Source organism: Homo sapiens, chromosome 5 (assembly GCF_000001405.40).
Source record: "Homo sapiens chromosome 5, GRCh38.p14 Primary Assembly".
Classification (NCBI taxonomy): Eukaryota; Metazoa; Chordata; class Mammalia; order Primates; family Hominidae; genus Homo; species Homo sapiens.
Window position 1 is genome coordinate 93,959,911 of NC_000005.10, and position 24,564 is coordinate 93,984,474.

At 34.8% G+C, this 24,564-nt stretch overlaps 1 protein-coding gene across 35 annotated transcripts in view; it reads right to left on the reverse strand.

Moving 5' to 3' along the window:
* Positions 1 to 24,564, reverse strand: part of ARB2A (ARB2 cotranscriptional regulator A) — a 493,975-nt gene that overhangs the window by 342,186 nt on the left and 127,225 nt on the right. For all 35 annotated transcript variants that reach the window (NR_028080.1, XR_007058646.1, NM_001163418.1 and 32 more), the window contains one exon: positions 4,548 to 4,613. Coding sequence is in view for 33 of the 35 variants with exons in the window: in NM_001163418.1 (NP_001156890.1) it covers positions 4,548 to 4,613 (66 nt within the window). In the remaining 2 variants the exon portion in view is untranslated. The remainder of the gene's footprint in view (positions 1 to 4,547; positions 4,614 to 24,564) is intronic.

A 24,564-nucleotide genomic window follows, 5' to 3' on the forward strand; every position in this document is an offset into this window, starting at 1 on the left:
AATGGAAGCCTTTCAATAGCCAGATCAAGCAGAAAGTTGACATTCTGGTGGCTGGTACTCTTACATAAAGAAGGTCAATCCACATATTGTGTAACGTAATAGCTCTTCACTTTGTCAACTGTATATGTTCATACAATTATCAAAATAGGAAGTATACAAAAACTCTAGATGCCCCCCCCCCCCCCAAAAAAAGCCCTGGATTCTAAATACTCCCAGTCATTACGCTTAGGAAGAGAAAAATAAAATAAAATAAAATAAAATAAAATATCTGTACTTCTAAAACAATCAGGCTAGTTTCAGTAAGAGATGGCTTAGGCATTTGTGCAAACACAGCAAAAATGGCAATTATTTCAGCAAGAGCAGCATGGACACAGGTCTTAAAGAAGAAATAACACCTTTTCATTGAAGCCTTCCCTGACTACCACTTTTAAAATTCCAAACATGTCCCGAGAATTCCATAGTCCCCTTCCCTGTTTTATTTTCCTCCACGGCACATACCAAGATCTAACATATTGTATGCTTTACTCTACATTTTTGCAAATGTGTTTATTCACGGCCTGCTCCCTCCACTAGAACGTAAGTCCAGGCAGGCACAGAGTTCTCTCGTTTGTATCCACTTATATAGTCTCAGTACCTAAAATAAAACCTAGCACATTGTAGGCACTCAGTAATTAAAAACAATAAACTTTTGGAATGAGGAATCTTATCAAGCCTCACCAGTGACTTCCTTTAGATAAAAGACATTTAACTAAATAATGGATCCTCTAAAATGGTTATAATACTTGCCTGGTTCAGAAAGCATATACTGAAGATTAAACTAGTACATAATTATAGAGAATTTTACAAGAGCTATACAATGTTAAAGAATTAAAATGACATAACTATAATTTTATTAGCAATAGCTAAAAATACAGGAAGAGAGATATGAAGTGTAACACAATCATATTAGCTTCACCTGCATGCTATGTCCAGAGTAAACAAAGTATAATGATGACAATAAATATGACTACAGCCACACAGAAAGATAAGTGGATGACAGACACAGGAAAACCAAACCTAAGAAGAAAAATTCCCTTTTACCTAGGAACATTATATAAAAATAGGAGAATTGCTCAGTTAAAGAAGCCTAAAAAAAAAGTAATGATGATAAGAACAAAATAAAAAAATTGAAAGGCAGAGCTGTCAGTGTATAACAAGAAAGAGGCCACAGGGGTTTCTAGTCACTCAATTACCAAACACTATGTCTAAACACGCACAAAGAAAAGTGTCTCTTAAGGTCAGTGAGGCCTTAATGGATCCTGGAATGGCTATGGAGATGGATATCTATTCACCTTCATGAAAAAACCTGTAGTACAGATATTCCAGTAGGTGCTGATCACTGTCTCTTTTTTCCTATTTGACTAAGTCCCCTGTTACCAAGAAACTCAGTCAATTTTTTAAGCAATGGAATACTGGCACTTTGAAGTCCACAGTAATCACTTAGAACTGAAAGAAACTTATTTTCAGATGATAAAAATGTATTTTTTATATTAAAATGCTGCTCGATAAAGGACCACTTGAGTCCAGGAGTTCGAAACCAACCTGGGCAACATAGTGAGACCCTGTCTCTACAAATAATCAAAAATTAGCTAGGTGTGGTGGTGTGCACCTGTAGTCCCAGCTACTTGGCAAGCTGAGGCTGGAGAATTGCTTGAGGCCAGGAAGTCAAGGCTGCACTAAGCCATGACTGCACCACAGCACTTAGCTTGTGCAACAGAGTGAGACTCTGTCTCAAAAAAGAAAAAAGAGGGAAAAGGGAATCACATTTTAAAAAAAAACACTGCTAAATAATTTTTAAGGGGCTACAAATTAAGGTAGCCATGAATAAATTAAAGTTTTACTTGAATACTGAGAAAAGTTGACTTTCAAAATATGAGAATATCAGAATATTAAAGAAAAACAACAATGAAAATGAAAAATGTAACAATATTAATGAGTAAGGGGTAAGAGCAGTATTTTAGCTGGTCATTGGCTAATATTCACCTCAGTTTACACAGAACTCTGACTGTGCACATGGTAACTACAATGTACTTTCTATAAAGATAGTGCTAATTTTAAATAGTAAGATACCTATATTAATAAAATAATTTCTTCTTCATTAACCTAATTAAGTTTGAACATACGGCTGTTCCAAGGCCATTTATCTTCAAACAGTGGTAATTTATTAAGCTAAGCTTTCATTAAGGAATACACATAATGGTCATTCCAGCGAACCACCTCACTTTATTACAAATCAATCTCAGACACCTTTTGGTTGGTAAGACTGCACCAAACAATTTTAGCAGTCACCAATTCATTGTGGAATACTCGTGAACACCATTAATTGCTGAAACATGATGCATGTAATAAACTACGTGAAAATTTGTAGTGAAGTTGTTAATTCATGTCTCCAGAGTTCTATACAAGTATGAGATATTTTACTATAATTGAGAATACTTTATGCCTATTTATGAGAGATGTGGATTAAACATAGGCATGATCATAATGTTTACTATCAAATCATGGGTTCCACAAAGAGCTGTCATTTAAAAAATGGTTCTTTTTCCCTTTTAAAATAGTTTCAACTATAAAACTAAAAGAGTTCATCACCAGGAAAAAAAAGGTTTGATGGTATTCTTTAAGTAAAAAGAACAACTATTTACAGACACCCACATACAAAAACCCACTCTCACTCTGAGATTTAAGAGAGCTCGGGAGAAAGCTAATAGCTATTGAAAAATAGTTGTGAAGAGAAGTTTCACAACAGTACCAAATATGTGATAATTTAAAGGGAAATATTAATTTCCTAAGACAAAATTCAGAGTTTTTAAGTTTACAAAATAAGGGAAACTTTATTAACCAAAGATGGGCATGATGCTTAAGTTTCATATAAAGTAAATCTCTCTTGCTTATTAGCTTTATATTCCAAATTTAAAATCAAAGGATAATCAGATCCATAATACAGAGTTCTCTTCCATCTATAGAGATCAATAATGAAACTTAAACATATAACATGCTGTATACAGCCAATTATTTTGTGATTTGTTCTAGAAATTTGGAGACTGAAGTGAGTTTAAGGGTTCCCTAGAACTAGAAGTATTATAGAGTTAGCAGACTCAATATTAATTGTGTTGTATCAATAAATTAACCTAATGCTCTTTAAATATCATTCTTCAGAAACTCTGAAAGAAATAAAATTAACAAGAAAGGAAAACTGGGCAAAGTGACAAAATTCTACCCTGACTTTCCAGAAGACCAAATTTCAATATATACTTTAAATGAAGTAAAATGCTAGGCCTAAAGTCAAAACTAAGACAGTAAGTTTAAATTCAAAAAAGACTGGTATATTCATTCCCAGAAAGGTACTAAAATCTTGTCTGTAAAGGAAGAAAAATTTCCAAATAAACCAAGGGTTGATGTAGCTGTTACACAGAATAATATTTTATTGACTAATCCATCATAAGCACTTGGACCAGTGTCCATCACCTAAAAAACATTTAAATAAATATATGTTGAATAAATGAATAATGAGTGAATGACTAATAATGTGATCTTGCACTTGAGGTTACTTACGGAAAATCAAATAAAAAGGTTTCCTTTAAAAAAGGAACTATGGAATCAGTTCTGGAGAGGGGACAATATTAAGAAATCCTCAAACCCTCGAATTTATAATAAAATAGCACTATCCAAAGAATTTTTAAAACTCGTGCAACATTTCATGCAAACAAAATTATCTATATGCAAAGTGTTGTGCCTTAAATGAACTACTTTCATTAAGTCTCCCAGATTCTTATATATCATAAAATCATAAAGTTGTCAGGGACGGCAAAGATCCTCCAATCTAGTCCAACCACCGTTTCACACACGATTACAATCTCTTCATTTTAAAGCTTAATATTTTGTGGTTTACATTTAAAATAACAGGGGTTTGTGTTTTTTGTTTCGTTTTGTTTTTTGACAATTTGAGTCTGAGAACAAATCTCAAACTTTTTCACTCTGAAATGTCAAAATGTGCAAGATTCAAAAAAAGGTTCTGCCAAAAAGGGAAGGAGCAGGGTTATGAAACAGGAAGCACCAGGAATGAATTTGGGAATGTATAGAGGAAACAACATACTATGTGTAGAAATAAGACATATTTTTAAAAACCAAGAAATATTTAAAGAGATAGTGAATGTCTAATGTAACAAAAACTGCACTGGTTTACTACAAATAAATAAAAATAAATTATTCCAGTGAAATGAGAAAGGGTACAGGTAAGGGTAATCCTTTTAATTGAGTCATCATTTTCAAAGAGACTAGAAATCGGTTTTTACTTTATACTGAAGAGTATTCTTTATAAGAACTACTGTGCAGAATGAGATGAGGTATACTAATAAGCATTTAAAATTATCGCTATCAACACAATAAACCCTAACATTTAAACTTATCACAGTCAACCCAAAACAAAAGTTTTCTTCTGAATTAAAAACTATTTTACTTGGAAATAAACATTTCATTTGAAATAAACATTTCTTTAAAATTTGACTTACTGGAATAGATACTTTTTTCAAATTACAATCCTTTTCCAGGAGCTCATATACATACTTCGTGATGATCTAAGTAGGAAAGAAATAACACATTAAGATCCAATGTCATCCATTATCAAAACTGACATAAATTTTGGTAAATTGTTGCAAGTTATTGCTCTGAGTAAATATCTCTTCATCTTGGAATGCTCTGATACTATATTAAGAGACTCCTAATTACCCATAATGGTTTACTTCCTGCTGCTGTATGAATAACTATGAACCTTTGTATTAAGGATTAGGAACAATTAATATACATTAACAAAAATATACACAACTTTCTCTTTTTCAAGAGAATACTCTGAAAGTATATTTTCTTTTTTCAGTGTTTCTAAAATTTGTTTCTCCTATTATTTTCCTATAGGCATTATATTTAATATATTAATGGCACCTTAGTGACTCTGAATCTCAACACCTCTTTTGTGTTCACTGAATCGAGGAGGAAAAAGTCAGAGGTATTCTAAACAGAAAAGGAAAACTCATCCAGAAAGTCAGGGACCTGTCAGTAACACTGCTTATGCTAGGAAGAAACACAGTTCCTCTAGATGTCCATGTCCTAATTCCTGGAACCTGTGAATAAGTTATGTGACATATTAAATGAACCAACAGATATAACTGAAGTTTAGAACCTTGAAATGGCGAGATTTTCTAGGATTATCTGGGTGATGTATGTCTTTAAAAGTAGAAGATTACAGAAGAACAGTGGGTCAGAGAGATGCAAAGTGACTCAACTGGCTATTGCTTGTTTTCAACATGGAGGAAGAAAACAAGCCAAGAAATTTGGTAGCTTTTATAAAGTGGAATAACCTTCAGTTTACAACAGTAAGAAAATGAGACCTCAGTCCTACAACTGCAAGGAACTGAATTCAGCCAGCAACCCTTATAAGCAGTAAACGAATTCTCCCCTAGATCCTAAAAACAGCTTGTTCACACCTTGATTTTAGCCCAGTGAAACTCATATGGGACTTCTGATCTACAGAATTGTTAAGATAATAAATTTGTGTTGCTTTAAGCCTCTAAATTTATAGTAATTTGTTATAGCAGCAAAAGAAAATCAACATACTATTTCTGTTAAGGAAGGCAAAGAGTAAGGAAACAGACACCTGGAATAAAAACAAATATTAAATAGATGGTACTAATGGTCATTTTAAGGAGTGTTTCTCCACCCCAAAATGTCTTAAGTTATCTATGCAAAATACCTCAGAGAATAATTTTAGCAGAAACATAATTAAAAGTCAAATTTTATGAAACAAAATCACAGGATGATTTTTTTAGAAAATTAAGATGTCAATTGCTTTGGTGCTGTATTCGTAATCTAAAATAGATTCTTTATCCTGCTTTCTTCAAGGAGTCCAAAATTCTTTCTTCTATGTATACGTATTCATTTCATTTTAGAAACAGTATATTAGATGTATGCTAGAACAGCTTTATCTTGGCTGGTAATGGTAATTTCAAAAGCTATGACACTACATTAGAACTAGGTAATAAAATGCTAGTTATTAAACTAATAGTATTCTTACATTTCAACATAGTAGTTAAAATTATGTTGATTATACCTTCACTGGGATGTAGTGGTACTGTAGACTTATAAGAGTAAACTAAAAATGTGGAGGTTCAAACTAAACATATGTGTAAAGTTATATATTATGACCTGCTGCTTTAAGAGAAATAGATTAAATAAGATTAGCAAAATGAGTGGTTTAACATTTCTGAAAATATCCTACTATCTATGAAATCACAAAATATCCTTACATTTGAAGTAACAACAAAACCAATGAAATTTAATCCAAATGAATTCTACCACCATGCCAAATACTTGAGACATAATCTGAGAATTAAAAAATTAAATACTACTGACCTTACAAAAAGAAAAAAGCTGGACAAACTAGAAGTCAACAGCTCTTACTAGGTACATCAGTTAATCCTCAAGGTTTATACTACAGGATAATATAAAACAATTCAAAAACTCAAAAATTGCTTATTTAGCTTTGAAAAACACGATAGAGCAAGTCTGGAATTTGCAACATAGCAAACCAAGTAATAAAACTATATATCAAGTAAGAGTTGGAGAAACACTACCTAACTTGCCTAATTTGCTTTGATCTCCAAATCCTTACTGTAGGAAAAAAGCAACCATAGATGAAATCATCTATCTTATAGGCAATTCTCCGTGTTCAGCATGCTCTCCTCAGCTCTAGTCATCCTCCAAAATACAGATCACATGTCAACTCCTTCAGGTAACTCTCACGGTCTCATCCCAACCCTCCAAGGTATGGCAAAGTGTCTCACCTCTATTTGCCTCTGGACATGACTGAATATCATTGTCTAACATACTACTCGAATATCGTTACCTGTCTGTTACACATCTACTTATAGAACACTATAATTTCGGTCTCCTACCTTTATTCCTTCTTGTATTCACAGGATACTCTGGCAAACAGAAGATACTTAAAATTGTACATGAATTCTCCTCTCTGTCCATCCTGTCTACATCTTTTGAGGGAGATACAAGTTCAAGATTTAAAAAAAAAAAAACATTTTCTAATTGCTAAATCAAGGCTTAGGAAGAAAGCATCAAGGACTCATTCATTGCCTTCCAGATTGCATAGAATTGCACTCTGCATTTAGAAAAACCAAAAAATGAAAAAGATAATTTCAAAAAGGAGATGAAAAAAGTATTTCTTTCCAAATGTCATCTGTGTTCAAATGTTCACTGGGAGCTGTGTTTATAGATGGAAAAGAAAAGGCTTAAGAGACTACGCAGGCTCTAAAATTATGTTTTCATTCTAATAAGAAACAGAGAATTTCCGTTGTCTGGTCTGATGTATATAGAGCTTGGAAGTAGGTACTACTGACCTTACAAAAACAAAAAAGGCTGAACAAACTGAAAGTCAACAAATCTCATTAGATCCATCAGAGAAGTGAGGCCACAGAGCAAACTGCTTCCCTGAAAATGGAGAGAGACAGACAAGCAGATATAAAATCAGTTTACGGGGTACCTCAGCTGAAGCCAGTACTAACATAAGAACACTTCAAACTGCAACGGAGGAACTGCTGGCGGGGTGTGGACTAGCTTAAGAGTTAAAAACTAGGAGGAGGTTCAACCTTAAGGGGGAGGGGACAAATTTTTATGAGTTTTACTTCCAGGAGGGCTACTAGGTTCTCACTATGAAGACTACATAAAAACTCTCCTGCAGGGGAAGGGGAAAAGTAACCATTTAAAAATACTCCAGAGCTCTCTATTGTCTTTAACAATGCCTGCAATAGTTGAAGAGAAACTATTTTACCAGAACCTAGCTGACCTGGCAGAAAGGGAAATGCCCAGCTCCGGCTCATTTAAGAGATGAGACCTAATAGAGGACTATAGAATATCTCCCCATCTACCCTAAGTTACCACCATATCAACAGAGTTCCTATAAAATACCAGGGGATTACAGCTAAAATAACTCTAAGAGTCAGGCCCTTTTTAAGGACCCTAGAAAAAAAACAAAGACAATAGAGGAGACAAAAACAAAGAACCTAGAGGAAACTGTAGCCTCTGACATGCAGCTAAAGCAAACAATAAACACAATCTAATGCCTAGCCAAATAAACATAAAATCTCACACTAAAGACCTATTTACTTCAGTTCCTTTTACCTGATATATGATATCAGGCTTTCAACAAGTAGTTACCAGGCTGCTAAAAGGCAAAAACAAACAAACAAAACCCCCATGATCTGAAGAGACAAACCAAACATCAGAACTAGACTCAGATATAGCAGAGATAGTGGAATCATCAGATTAGGAATTTAAAACAACTATAATATGTTAAGGCTTTATTGGAAAAATGCACCACATACAGGAACAGATGGGTAATGTAAGGAGAAACATGGAAACCAAGATACAATAAAAAGTAAATGTTAGATCACAACCACTGTAACAAAAATGAAGACTGGGTTTATTAGGCTAATTAGTAGACTGGACATGGCCAAGGAAAGACTCAATGAGCTTAAAGATAAGTTAATGGAAATGCTCAAAATGTAAATGCAAAGAGAAAACAAGAATGAAAAGACAATACAGAATATTAGAGAACTGTGGGGCAATCACACAAGGTGTAACTTATGCATAATGAGAATACAAGGAGGAGAAGAGAGAAGAAACAGAGAAAATATTTGAAGCAATGATGGTTGAGAATATTCCAAAATTAATGACAGATAAAAAGTAATAGATCCAGGAAGTGCAGACAGCATCAAGCTGGATAAATAAAACAAAGAAACAAACAAAAAAAACTATACCTTGCCAAAGTGAAAATCTTAAAAGAAGCTGGTGGGGGAAGGGTGGAAATTTACTTACAGAGGAACAAGGATGAGAATTACATCGGACTTCTCTTACAAACTATGTAAGCAAGAAGACAGAGGAGGGAATTACTCAGTGTTGAAAGAAACCCCACCAACCTAGAATTTTATATCCTGCAAAGTTATCCTTCAAAAGTGAGGGAGAAATAATGACTTTCTGAGACAAATAAAAATTTAGGGAATTTTTTTCTTTTTTTTTTTTTTTTTTTGCCAGTAAACTTGCCTCACAAGAAATGTTAAAACTTATTTCAGAGAAAATGAAAATTACAGAGGTCAGGAATTTGGATCAACACAAAGAAACAGGAGAGTCAGACAAGAAAGAAATGAAGGTAAAATAAAATATTTTATTATTCTTATTTGATCTAACAGATAACAGTTTGTTTAAAATAACAGCAACAATGTATTTTGTGATTAGAGATAAGCAGAATGAACGTCAGCAATGTTATAAGCGACAAGACAGGAGAACTGATTATACTCTGTTATAAGGTACTTGTACTACACATGAAGATGTCTAGTGTCATTTGAAAGAAACACTGGAAAGAAAAATCTACTACACCTGGCAATTTTCCTGGATTTCTTCTGATTCCTAAGAAGCTGCCATAAAGATAAAAGTTAAATGAATCCACAATGGAAGTGACAGAAAAATAATTTTGAGATTATATATTCATGGAATAAATATCCTGACTACTAATACAGTAATGCCCTCAAGGAATTAGAGTCTGACTCAAATTTTTCCAGCTCAGAGTTTCTGCATGCAGGGATTAAAGAAAATTGTTAAAAGGAGAGCAGGGGTGATCAATGAAATAAAACACAGAAATAAGGAAAATGAAGTATAATAAAAATCACTTCTCTATGGAGCACTTCCAATGGAAGAGTTATATTCATCCTACTATGAATTTACTTTTGACATTTATTAAGCACTTACTATGTGCTTATCATGTTCCTCATTCATCTCAGCATTACTTCAGGTCTTTAATTAAATAAGAAGCCAGCAATGATAACCTTTAGTCCAGTAACAGCACTGAAATTATTCTAGCTAGTTATAATTTAAGGGGGTGGGGAAGAGTGACATTAAGAAGCCTCCTAGAAGGTACTACAGATCCTTTTGAGAAATAAAATGTAATACACGATAATATATATTACTGCATAGGTAAGGTAAATAATATAAATACTTCAATTAAACACAAAGTTTATTTTATTACCAGATATTCAAGCTTTCATTCTTTCTCCCTCAGAAGAAAATTTCTCAATAGTAACAAGCTAAATTTGGCCTTATTGATTCACGCAATAACAACTGTTATTTTACAACTTTATTAACTACATAAGATAAAAAATTTCTATATTAGGCATATTAGGAGAGTAAGAACATCAGCCCAAGACATAAAACACCAATACCCATACATCACCAGTCATACCCATCCCTATAGATGACACGTAAATGCTAAGAGAATCCTGACTTTAAACGTAAAGGTGGATAAATTGAATCAAAAGGGAAACTCTAAAAGATTTAAATATATCTATAAAATTTTTATGCCTCTTTCAACCAAATAAAATCTTAGAAAACAGACTAAGTATCTGAATTAATAAAATATGAACTAAAACATTAGAAGAAATCATTTTTTAAAAGTTTTTAAACATCTGAAACATTTTAAAAGAAAAATAACTTTTAAATGCTTAAAATATTTTAAAATAAACCATTTTTTCTGTGCTTGCATAGCGGTAAGTATACCTACCTGTTATGTGGGACACTGGGGTTTGATTCTCCCCACAACCAAAAAAAAGAAAAGAAACAATTTGTAAACAGCCTTAGGATAATAAATCATTGCCTAGTAGAAATTTGGTTCTAAATGGCAGAATGAAATTAAGTCATTTATAATGAATACACTTAAGTGATAATAACACTCTGTTTTCTGCTTGAAATAATTACATATATCATGTTTACATTAAATGGATACTTACAAAACAGTTGAAAATAGTTTACTTTTACATAAGCATCTTCTTTTAACATTATTCGTTTGCTTAGAAAGCCCTGATTTCACAAATGAGCCCAAAGGAGTCAAAACAAGCAATATGATTTATCACACTACAATGTATCACAAATGTAAATGAAGTTTGATATTATAAGCTCTTACTATATTGAAAGTTTAAAAATATTTTGAAGATAAACTTTCGCTTTTTTTTTTAATTTGAGATGGAGTCTTGCACAGTTGCCCAGGCTGGAGTGCAGTGGTGCGATCTCAGCTCACTGCAAGCTCTGTCTCCTGGGTTCACGCCATTCTCCTGCCTCAGCCACCCGAGTAGCTGGGATTACAGGTGCCCACGACCACGCTCAGCTAATCTTTTGTACTTTTAGTAGAGACGGGATTTCACCCTGTTAGCCAGGATGGTCTCGATCTCCTGACCTCGTGATCCGCCCGCCTCGGCCTCCCAAAAACTTTCACTTTTAACACAATATTTAGCCAGGCACGGTGGGTCACACCTGTAATCCCAGAACTTTGGGAGGCCGAGGCAGGTGGATCACCTGAGATCAGGCGTTCGAAACCAGCCTGGCCAACGTGGCAAAACCCTGTCTCTACTAAAAATACAAAATTAGCCAGGCATGGTGGTGCAAGCCTGTAATCCCAGCTACTTGGGAGGCTGAGGCAGGAGAATCACTTGAACCTGGGAGGCAGAAGTTGCAGTGAGCTGAAATAGCGCCATTGCACTCCAGCCTGGGCAATGAGAACAAGACTCCGTCTCAAAAATAAATAAATAAATAAATAAATAAATAAATAAATAAATAAAACAAAAATACAATATTTATTCTATCTATTCCATGTTACTTAGTTTCACTTTGCTTATTATGATTAATAAAAATACAATTTAAAATCCCCAAACCATTTATTTTGAGAGGCAGAGGCTTCAAGATCTTTGTATTCAGTATGTAACTGAATAATTGGTTGGATTCCTCAATTTAAAATATACCAATAAATGGGGGATAGTGCCCCACCAGGTCTCAGGAGCAGAAGGGAGGCAGATCTCACACCTGGAAATCTAATCCTTGGCATGGTCTGCCACCGAAGGAGTAGGGAGCAAATCCTGCCAAAGTCCTACCTGGGTCAAAGGAAATGCAAGAGTGGTGCCAGTTGCTGAAGGAAGCACCCACCAAAGCCTCTGAATGGACAAGGACGAGGGGAGTAATCTCTCGCCTCCCTGCCCCTTTTCTCAGTTCACTGTTGTGAACTTGGCAAAGGCTTTTCCCACCAGGATTTATGAGCATGGCCTTAAAGAGACAACTTCTTGAGTTTCTCCAGTGGCTTCACCCCTACTGAAGGTGAACACTGGCTGGGGGAGGGTGCTTTTCATGCTTCTCCATTGCCTCTGCTCCTGCACCCACCAACCAGCTCTTACAATTAAGTGCTACCTACTGACTGTAGCCTGAAATACACGACCAATCAAAATTACATTGCTAAAACAAGCAACATCTGAGAAAGCCAGTTAACAAACCTATCTATATCCAAGAAACCTATATAGAGCCTTGGCACCCTGAAAGCGCCAAGAAACAAATCCAATCAATCACAAACAATACACACCACAGTCATACCCACAAGGGAAAAAAGAATAACAAATCAAGACGCCCCATCCAAATGATAGCAAACTAAAAAAAAAAAAGAGAGAGAGAAGTATCAGCTCTCTTAGATGAGAATGAACAGTGCAAGAACTCTGGCAATAGAAAAAGCCAGAGTGTTTCATCATCTCTAAATGATCCCACTAGTTCCCCAGCAATGGATCCTAACCAGAATAAAAATTCTGAAATGACAGATAATTCAGAATATGGGTGGCAAAGAAACTGAATGGGACCCAGAAGGAAGCTGAAATCCAACATGAAGAAATCAGAAAAACAATTCAGAAACTGAAGATGACATAGCTGCTATATTAAGAAAGAACCAAATGGAACTTCTGGTATTGAAAAATTCACTACAGGGGGCTTGTTGTGGTGGCTCACGCCTGTGATCTTAGCACTTTGTAAGGTCAAAGCAGGAGGATCTCTTGAACCCAGGAGTTCAAGACCAGCCTGGGCAACATAGGGAGACCTTGTCTCTTAAAAAAAAAAAAAAAAGAGAAAACTCACTACAGGAATTTCTTTTTCTTTTCCTTTTTGAGACAGTCTCGCTCTGTTGCCCGAGCTGGAATGCAGTAGCATGATCATAGCTCACTGCAGCCTCAAACTCCTGGGCTCAACTGATCCTCCCACTTTAGCCACTGAAGCAGCTGGGACTACAGGTGCATGTCACCATGCCCAGATAATTTTTAAATTTTTTTCATAGAAACCAGGTCTCACTATGTTGGCCAGGCTGGTCTTGAACTCCTTGAACTTATGCAATCCTCCCAACTTGGCCTCCCAGTAGTTCTAACATGAATAGTTCTAGGCGTGAGCCACTGTGCCCAGCCAGGAATTTCAAACTACAATTGAAAGTCTTAACAACAGAATACATCAAGCAGAAGAAGGAATCTCAGAGCTCAAAGACTGGCCCTTCCAAGTCAACCCAGACAAAAATAAAGAAAAAATAATTGTAAAAACTGAATAAAGCCTTCAAGAAATATGGGATTATGTAAAGTGACCAAATCTATGACTTACTGGCATTCCTGAGTGAGAAGAGAAAGTAAGCAACTAGGAAAACATATTTGAGGATATAATTAAGAAGTTTCTCTAATCTTGCTTAAATTGGTCAACATGCAGATACAAGAAATCCAGAGAACTCCTGCAAGATACTATACAAGATGACCTTCCCCAAGACACACAGTCATCAGACTATCCAAGATCAATGCAAAAATTCTTAAAAGGCAGCCATGGAAAAGAATCACATCACCAATAAAAGAAAATCCATGAGATTAACAGCAGAATTCTCAGCAGAAACCTTATAAGCCAAAAGAGACTGGGGACCCATTTTTAGCATTCTTTAAGAAAAGAAATTTCTGCCAAGAATTTCATATCCCACCCAACTAAGCTTCACAAACAAAAGAGAAATACAGTTGTTCCCAGACAAGCAATCGCTAAAGGAACTGATCACTAGCAAAAAATGCCTGTGGGGTATCTGAACATGGAAATGAAAGAATGATACTTGCTACCACAAAACACATGCAAGCACATAGCCTACAGACCCAATAAAGCAACTACACAGTTGAGACTACCATGCAACTAGCTAACGACACCACACAGGAAGAAAACCTCAAATATCAATATTAACCTTGAATGCAAACAATGTATACACTCCACTTAAAAGACACTGAGTGGCAAACTGGATGAAAAAACAAGACCCATCCTTCTACTGTCTTCAAGAGAGCAATCTCACATGTAATGACACACAAAGGCTCAAAGTAAAGATCTATCTATACAGAAAGATCTTTCTCAAAGTAAAGATCTATCTATACAGAAAGATCTTTCTCAAAGTAAAAATCTTTCTATAGAGAAAGATCTATCATGCAAGTAAAAACAAAAAAGGGCAGAGGTTGTTATTCCTATATCAGATAAAATAGACTTTAACAATAAAAAGGACAAAAAGTAATATTACATAATGATAAAGGGTTTTATTCAACAAATAAATAGGCACCCAACATTGGAGCACCCAAATCTATAAAACAATTACTTCTAGACCTAAGAAAAGACTTATATAGCCACACAATAATAAGGGAAGAATTTAACACCCCACAAAAGCTATTAAACAGATCATCAAGGCAGAAAACAAACAAACAAAAATCTGAACTTAAATTTGACACTTAATTAATTGAACCTAATAGACATCTATGGAATACTCCACCCAACAACAACAAAATATATATTATTCTCATCTGCACACAGAACATATTTCAGGATTGCTGACATGCTTGGTCATAATACAAGTCTTGGTAAATTTTTTGAAAAAACTAAATTAAAAAATAAAATAAATAAAAAATGAATCATACGAAACATCTTCTCAGACCATGGTGGAATAAAAATAGAAATCAACACCATGAAGAACTCTCAAAACCACACAAACTATATATGGATATCATTACATAAAAGTCTTGAATGACTTCTGGATAAACAATGAAATTAAAGTAAAAATCAAAAAATTCTTTTAAACAAACAAAAATAGAGACACATACACCTCTGGGATGTGGCAAAAGCATTCAGAGGAAAGTTTGTAGTGCTAAATGACTGCATCAAGAAAACAGAAAAATCTTAGCTGGGCGCGGTGGCTCATGCCTGTAATCCCAGCACTTTGGGAGGCTGAGGCAGGCGGATCAAGAGATCAGGAGATGGAGACCACCCTGGCTAACATGGTGAAACTCTGTCTCTACTAAAAAAATACAAAAAATTAGCTGGGCATGGTAGCGAGCACCTTGTAGTCCCAGCTACTCCAGAGACTGAGGCAGGAGAATCCTGTGAACCCGGGAGGCGGAGCTTGCAGTGATCCGAGATCATGCCACTGCACTCCAGCCTGGGACACAGAGCAAGACTCCATCTCAAAAAAAAAAAAAAAAAAAGGAAAACAGAAAAATCTCAAAATTAACAACCTATCCTTGCACCTAAGGGAACTAGAAAAACAAGAACAAATTAAATTCAAAGCTGGTAGAAGGAAAAAATAATTAAAATCAGAACAGAACTAAATGAAATTGAGAACCCAAAAAACCATCCAAATGATCAACAAAATAAAAAATTTGGTTCTTTGAAAGATAAATAAAATTGATAAACTGTTAGCTAGATTAACAAAGAAATAAATCTATGCACAATCAGAAATGACAAAGATGACATCACAATTGATCCCAGAGAGATATAAAAGATCCTCAGAGACTACTATATACATCTCTATGCACACAGACTAGAAAATTTAGAGGAAATGGATACATTCCCTGAAACACACAACCTCCCAAGATAGAATGAGGAAGAAACAACAATATCGAACAAGTGATGAAACTGAATCAGTAATTTAAAAAAACTACCAACCAAAAAAAGCCCTGGAACAGATTGATTCACAGCTGAATTCTACCAATTCTACTAGATACGCAAAGAGCTAGTACCAATCCCATTGAAACTATTACAAAAAGTCAAGGAGGAGGGACTCCTCCCTAACTCCCTATCCCAATCTGGTAAAGATACAATACGAAATATCCCTGATGAACAGAGACCAATCAATCCTCAACAAAATATTAGCAAATCGAATCCAGCAGCACATCAAAAAGTTAATTCACCATGATCAAGTGGGCTTTATTCCTGGAATGCAAGGATAGTTCACCATATGCAAATCAATAAATGTGATTCATTACATAAATAGAATTAAAAACAAAAACGATTTTTTGTTATTTATTGTTATTGAGATGATCATTCATCTCAACAGACACAGAAAAATGCTTTCATTAAATCCAACATCCTTCATGATAAAAACCCTCAACAAACTAGCCATCGAAGGAACACATCTCAAAATAATAAGAGTCATCTATGAAAAACACACACCCAATATCATACCGTACAGGCAAAAGTTAGAAGTATTCCCCCTAAGAAGATATCCAGTCTCATCACTCCTATTCAAGATAGTACTGAAAGTCCTAGCCAGAGCAATCAGGCAAGAGGAAGAAATAAAAGGTATCTGATATGGTTTGTTTGGCTCTCTGTCCCAAACTTCAAATCTCATCTCGAATTGTAATCCCCACCTCTCAAGGGAGGGAAGTGATTACATTATGGGGACAGTTTCCCCCTTTCTGTTCTCATGATAGTGAGTGAATTTTCATGAGATCTGATGGTTTCATAAACAGGAGTTTTTCCTGTGCTCTCACATGCTTGAACTTCTCTCTCCTGCTGGATGTGAAGAAGGTCCTTGCTTGCCCTTTGCTTTCTGCTATGATTGTAAATTTCCTGAGGCCAATTAAAACCCTTTCCTTTACAAATTACACAGACTTGGGCATTTCTTTATAGAAGTGTGAGAATGGACTACTACAGCATCTAAATAGGAAAAGAGAAAGTCACATTATCTCTTTTCATTGCTGATATGATTCTATATCTAGAAAACCCTAAAGATTCCACTATATGACTCCTAGACATGATAAATGACTTCAGCGAACTCTCAGGACGGAAAATCGAAACACAAAAATTAGCATTTCTATATACCAATAACATTCAAGCTGAGAACCAAATTAAGAATGCAATACCATTTACAATAGCCACTAAAAAAAAAAAATCTAAAAATACATCTAACATGGGAGGCAAAAGATCTCTAGAAGGAGAATTGCAAAACAGTGCTGAAAGACTCACAGATGACAAAAACAAATGGAAAAGAATTTCATGCTAATGAGTTGGAGGAATCAATATCATTAAAATATTTATACTGCCCAAAGCAATCTATGGATTCAATGATATTCCTATCAAATTACCAATGTCATTTTTCACAGAATTAGAAAAAGCTATTCTAAAATTCACATGGAACCAAAAAAGAGACCAAGTAGTCAAGCCAAACCTAAGCAAAAAAAAATAAAATAAAATAAAATCAAGCTGGAAGCATCACATTACCTGAATTGAAACTATGCTACAAGGCTACAGTAAACAAAACAGCATGGTACTGGTACAAAAATAGATACATAGGCCAATGGAACAGAATACGGACCCCCTGAAATAAAGTCACACACCACCAACCAACTGATCTTCAACAAAGTCAGTAAAAATAAACAATGGGGAAAGGATACCCTATTCAATAAATGGTGCTGGGAAAATTGGCTAACCATAGGCAGAAGAATAAAACTTGACCCCTACTTCTTACCATATAGAAAAATTAACCCAACATGGATTAAAGACTTACATGTAAGACCTCAAACTAAAAATCCTAGAAGAGAACCTAGGAAATACTCTTCCAGATGGTGGCCTAAGCAAAGAATTTATGACAAAGTCCTCAAAAGCAAATGCAACAAAAACAAAAATTGACAACTGGGACCTAATTAAACTACAGAGCTTCTATGCTACAAAGGAAACTGTCAAACGAGTTAACTGACAATCTATAGAACAGAAGAAATTATTTTAAAACTATGCATCTGACAAAGGATTAATATCTAGAATCTGTAAGGTGCTTAAACTATTGAACAACCAAAAAACAAATAACCTCATCAAAAAGTGGGCAAAGGTCCACGTTTGAACAGTTCTCAAAAGAGATATACAAGCAGCCAACAAACATGAAAAAAATGCTCAAATCACTAATCACCAGAGAGATGCAAATCAAAGCCACTATGAGATACCTTCTCACAATATTCAAATGGCTGTTATTCAAAAGTTAGAAAATAAAAGATGTTGGTGAGGCTGCAGAGGAAAGAGAACACTTATACATTGTTGGTGGGAATGTAAGTTAGTTAGCCCCTGTGGAAAGCAGTTTGTTGATTTCTGAAAGAACTAAAAATGGACTTAGCACTCAAACCAGCAATCCCATTACTGTGTATACAACCAAAGAAAAATAAATCATTCTACCAAAAAGATACCTGCACTCATATGTTTATTGTAGCACTATTCACAATAGCAAAGACATAGAGTCAACCCAGGTGTCCATCAATAGTATGGACTGAATAAAGAAAATGTGGTACACATACATGATGGAATACTATGCAGCCAGAAAAAAGAATGAAATCATGTCCTTTGCAGCACCATGGATGCAGCTGAAGACCATTATCCTAAGTGAATTAATGCAGAAACAAAACCAAATACTACATGTTCTCACTTATAAGTGAGAGCTAAACATTGGGTAGACATGGGCACAAAGATGGGAACAATAAACACTAGGGAATGCAAAAGTAGGCAGGGAGGGAAGAAAGGAGGGAAGGTAAGGGTTGAAAAACTAACTATCAGGTACTATGTTCACTAGTTGGGTGATGAACTCATTAGATGCCCAGACCTCAGCATCATGCAATATACCCATGTAACAAACCTGCACATGTACCCACTGAATCCAAAATTTAAAAATAAATAAAATATTCTTTCTATATTACAAAAAATAAAATGTACCAAGATTATAGATACCAGTGGCTGGAACGGGTGGGGTGGGGGTTGAGGGTGGAATGAAGAGATGGTAGTTAATGGATACAAACATACAGTTAGGTGGAAGGTAAAAATTCTAATGTTTGATAACAGAGTAGGGCAATTATGGTTAGCAATAATGTACTGCATGTTAAGTAGCTAGAAGAGAGTACTTAAAATGTTCTTAACACACTGAAATGGTCAAGGTGACAAATACCCCACATACCCTGTCTTCATCATTACACATTCTATGCATATAACAAAGTATCACAAGTACCCCATAAATGTGTAAAATAATATGTATCAGTAACAGGAAATAAAAACTTACAGCTTTTTAAAAACCAGTCTTACTCATTTCATCTCTAAACAGACCAATTGCAATTGGTAGGAGATTTCAGCTTTGAGCAATGACCTGATTTAAAATGTGTTTATCCCCAGTGCAGTATGTTAGGAACATTCACAATGTGTAATATTTACCTTTAGGGCCAAGAAGTATATTATGGTTCAATGGAAACAAATTTAGTATTACACCAGCACCATAATGTAGTGTTTCTACAAATAGTAAAAGTTAATAGGCAGGTGAAACCTATATATTGAATTTAATATTACAGATTATTTTTTACGTTTTACAAAATGGGAAAATTTATCACTAATATTGATTAACCAAAAAAAGCAAATGTTGATGCTCAAATATTAAATAACCACTCTTGGAAAATATCAAATTTTGATATTTTTACAAAAAAACCCTGCATGCATAATTAGGCTTACTTTCTACTTTTTCCTGCTCTTACATTTTAGACGAATGTCTTATATATCACATTAAAATTTTGTTTTGTTGTTTTTCACTCAAGCTGGCAGGTTTTATTCTTTGTAGTTACTGAATCATTTTATCCCGTACCTTTTATTTACCTTGCTTTTTCTATGTTTCTTTCTTTCTCTTCCTATATTTTAATAGGTTAAGTTTTCTTTATTTCTCACTCTCTGGTATAAAAGTGATATATTCTGGTTCTATTCCTCTAGTGACATCCTTAGAGTTTTAACATGAATACTTAGCATACTTACATCTAAAATTAATCTTCTTTTCTTGAATAGTTCAAAGACTTTAGAGAGATTTACCCCATCTTTTTAACGCATCTTACCTCCTTCATGTTATTTTTAAATAGTATATTTTTCTACCTTGGTTTTGTATTTGTTGTTGCTTATTATTGTTGTTGCTTTATATAGCTAAAGTTCCTTTACACTGCTCACAGCCTTACCAATTCCACTGCTCAGCATTCTTTCTTAGTTGCATCCCACTTTCTTTCTTCTTATTAATTCAGTTTGCTTCTTTGGTAGCTCTTTAGCAAAAGGTAAACTGTCAGCCTTTGTCTGAAAATATATGTATCTGAACCTAATTTTGAATTATGGTTTTATTTGAGCATACAATTCTGGATCAATAGTTATTTCCTCTGGTGTCTTCTGGTAACCACAGTTGTTAATGTTTCAGCTGTCAGTCTAGCTGAGGTTGTAGATAATCATGCTTCATTATCTGCTTGCTTTTATAATCTTCCCTATGCCTTTGATGTGCCAAAGATTCACTATAATACCTAGGTGTAGGTTCAGTTTTATTAATCCTCCTGAGGACTCAATGTAGTTCCTGAATCTTTTACCAATTCAAGACAATTCACAGATAATGTTTCTTCAAATATTTCCTCACTCTTTCTTTTTCTAGAACTCCTATTAATACATGCTAAACATTTTCATTCTACTATCCCTGTTATAAGCTCTTTTTCATATTTTCCATCTCTTTTTAAAATCTTTCTGAGCTATATACTAAGTAATTTTATTGAGATAAGTTATCTTCTAGTAGACCAACTCTCCCTTCAGCTATGTCTAATCTTCTATTTAAGTAGGCTGTTGAATTTTAACTTGACTATATTTTGATTTATATACATTTCATTTGGTATTATTTAAAATCTATTCTTTTAAAATATTTTGTTAACCTTTTTAATGTTTTCAAGCATTTTAAATATTTATTTTAAGGTCTCTGACTCATAGTTCTATTATCAAAAGATAATATGCCTATAGCTCTCCATTATAGTCATATTTTTAAAAATAAGCTTAAGGCATACCACCTTCATAGAGCTTTTCCCCTAAAATATTTGCCTTTCTCTGATTTCCTTTGTCAGCCAAAGTCTACTCAGCAAATAATTATTCACTAGCTTTTACTTTTCTGATTACTGTATTTCTTAATTTTTTTTTTTTTTCGGTAAAGGTTCTCACTTTGTCATCCAGGCTGGAGTGTGCAATGGCGCGATCTCGGCTCACTGTAGCCTTGACCTCTGGGCACAAATGATCCTCCCACCTCAGCTCCCCAAGTAGCTGGGACTACAGGCCTGCACCACCACGCCTGGCTAATTTTTTGTATTTTTTGTAGAGATGGAGTTTCACCATGTTGCCCAGGCTAGTCTCAAACTCCTGAGCTCAAGCAATTCACCCACCTTAGCCTCCCAAAGTGCTAGGATTATAGGCATGAGCCACCATGCCCAGTCCTGATTATTATATTTAAGTCTCATTTCCTCTGCTTGATGTAAGTTCCTTGAGAAGAAAGACTGTAGTTTTACTTAATCCTAACTCAAAACCAAGTAGAACAATGTACTTAACAAATTTTTGTTGGTTTTTAACTATTTTTAATCATTTATTAATACATTAACAGAAACAGACTCTAAAAGAGAACCCTGAAACACAGATGATTATCCATTTACCCTCCCAATTCTTTCTGGAGATTTCTCAATCCCATAAGTTTGAGACTAAAATATTTAATATAATATTTAATAAACAATAATAAAATATTTAATATACATGGTATTCTTAGATTTTAGGGTGAAAGGGTAGCTAATATGAACAGGCCCGAGGTTAATTTTGGGTATTTTATGATATTTTATTCAGTGTTTATATGTAAAAATACTGCAGCTAAAATCCAGCATGATTAAATCCAAAGTTAACTCATGTCACAATAAGCAATGAAGTTCATCACTAGATAATCTGAGCATCTGTAGTACTTCCACTGAAAGAAGCACTGAAAAAAATACTGAAGTCTGCAGAGTACACCACCCCCACAGTCCCTTCAGTCTCTACTCCTTCCTAACAGCCAACTTTACCTCTCCAGATACAAATAGAAAACATTACCTAGTCACTTCACATTGCTAGGAGTGGTAATTCAGCATCCATTTCATATTACTGGCCAAGAAGAGGAATAGAAGAGTCCTGGCCATCTCAAAAACAAAAAAAAAGTAATCTTCCCTTCAATATTTTCAGGCTGTGATATTGGGAATGCAATGAGAGGAAGGCAGAAAAAAAATCACCTATATTTCCTCCTTTGTCAGGTCTCATTTTTCTGTTTCAGGGCTTCATCTGAGTTTCAAAATTAAATTAAATTGAAAATTCCTTGCGCTGATGTCAGTATGCACTCCTATTTTCTACTACATATACACATATGTATACAGATAAAATGGATATAAATAAATATATATATACTGCATCCTATTTACTTCTAAATTTACCTATCTGCAGAAAGTAAAAGCTGAATATATATGTATGTACATGCACAGACACACAAATATATTTGCTGAGGGCCTAAAAGCACCGGCATCACTAGCAATGCACAGATCTTGGGGTGGGGCAGGTGTGTGCATGTGCATGTGTCTAAACAGTCATGCAATACTTAGTGAAGGGGATATATTCTGAGAAATGCATCATTAGGTGACTTTGTTGCTGTATGAACATCATAGACTGCACTTTCAGAAACTCAGATAGCACAACCTACTACACATCTAGGCTACATGGTATAGCCTACTACTCCTAGGCTACAAACTTGTACAGTATGATACCGTACTAAATACTGTGGGCAACTGTGACATAAGGGTGTATTTCTGTATCTAAATATACCTAAAAAGGGAAGGGCACAGTGGCTCATGCCGGTAATCCCAGCACTTTGGGAGGCTGAGGTGGGCGGATCACCTGAGTTCAGGAATTCAAGACCAGCCTAGCCAACATGGCGAAACCCCACCTCTACTAAAAATACAAACATTAGGCAGGCATGGTGGCATGCACCTGTAGCCTCAAGCTACCTGGGAGGCTAAGGTAGGAGAATCGCTTGAACTCAGGAGGCAGAGGTTGCAGTGAACCGAGATTGCACCACTGTACTCCAGACTGGGCAACAAAGTGAGACTCCGATACACACCTAAACATAGAAAAGGTAGAGTAGAAAGACAATATTTTAATCTTACGGAGCCACCTTATATATGTGGTCCATTGTTGACCACATCATTATGTTGTTTATGGCTGTGGAGAGGTGTGTGTGTGTGTGTGTGTGTGTGTGTGTGTGTGTGTGTGTGTGTGTGTGTGTGTGTGTCCATGTCCAATTCCCCACTAAGAGGAGTCAGAGCTCACTGGAGAAAAGGCTCATTCAAGACCTGGAGCACAGAAAGTACAAGATAAATCTAAAAAGTATTTTTTGTACCAAAAATTAAGAAAATACTGAAAGAGTGGCTTATACATTTTAAAAGAACACAGAAATCTGCCTGATGAGGATCCTTCTGGCTAAATCTGGGATAATTTAGGCATCAAAATAATGGCAGCAATAGATCATATCACCTTTTAAATAAAACAAGAATCTATGAGTCCATAATGATATAAATAAAGTAAAAGGGAAGGAGGAAGAATGCTCTTCCTTACAGCAGAATCCCAACTAATACATAGAGAGGAAATGACATAGTTAGAAAATCAATGGATGCTAAAATTAGTAGGTAAAAGATTCATAGTTTCAAGTATCTTCCCCCAAATTACTTATTAATTACAAAGAGAAAAATAATAGTACTTTTGTGGTGAGATCTGAAAGACATCACCAATACTGGAACAGGTCAAAATCACACGCTCTTGATATCATGCTTGGAGGATAAAAGATCACTTCGAAAGTACTTCTGCCAAAAATGCATAACCTGAATCGAATCATGAGAAAACACATATAACATTCAAATTGAGAGCCATTCTACAAATACCCTGTACTCCTCAAAAAATGTCAAGGTCAAGAAAGATAAAGAGAAGATAAGGAGTTGTTAAAGAATAAAGAGACATGACAACTAAATGCAATGTGTGAACCTGGATTTGATCCTGTACTTCACGAAAAGTAGCTATTTATTAAGTATATTATGCAACATTAGCAAAATTTAAACATAATCTATAGAATAATATTTTATTAATGCAAAATTTCTTGATTCTGATAATTATAAAGAGAATGTTCTTGTTCTTAAGAAATATACACAAATATATTAGTAGTAAAGGGGGATAATGTTTTGAAAATATGCAAATGTTTCAGAAAAAGATTAAGTAATATATAACACAGGAATTTACATAATTACAAGGAACCATATATATAAGTGTGAAAATATAACAAAACAAAAAGTTATTTTAAAATTTCTCAAACTGTTCATATTTCTAGTTCAGATGCTACTGACATTGCATCTTTAGCCACAGGTTATTTCAATAAAAATGCAGCAGATGACAAATAGGGTAATAACAATTTGCTTTCATCAAAAGACTTTAATTTCTTAAAATGTTGCAAGACTACAACTATACTTACGGATATTTTCACCCATT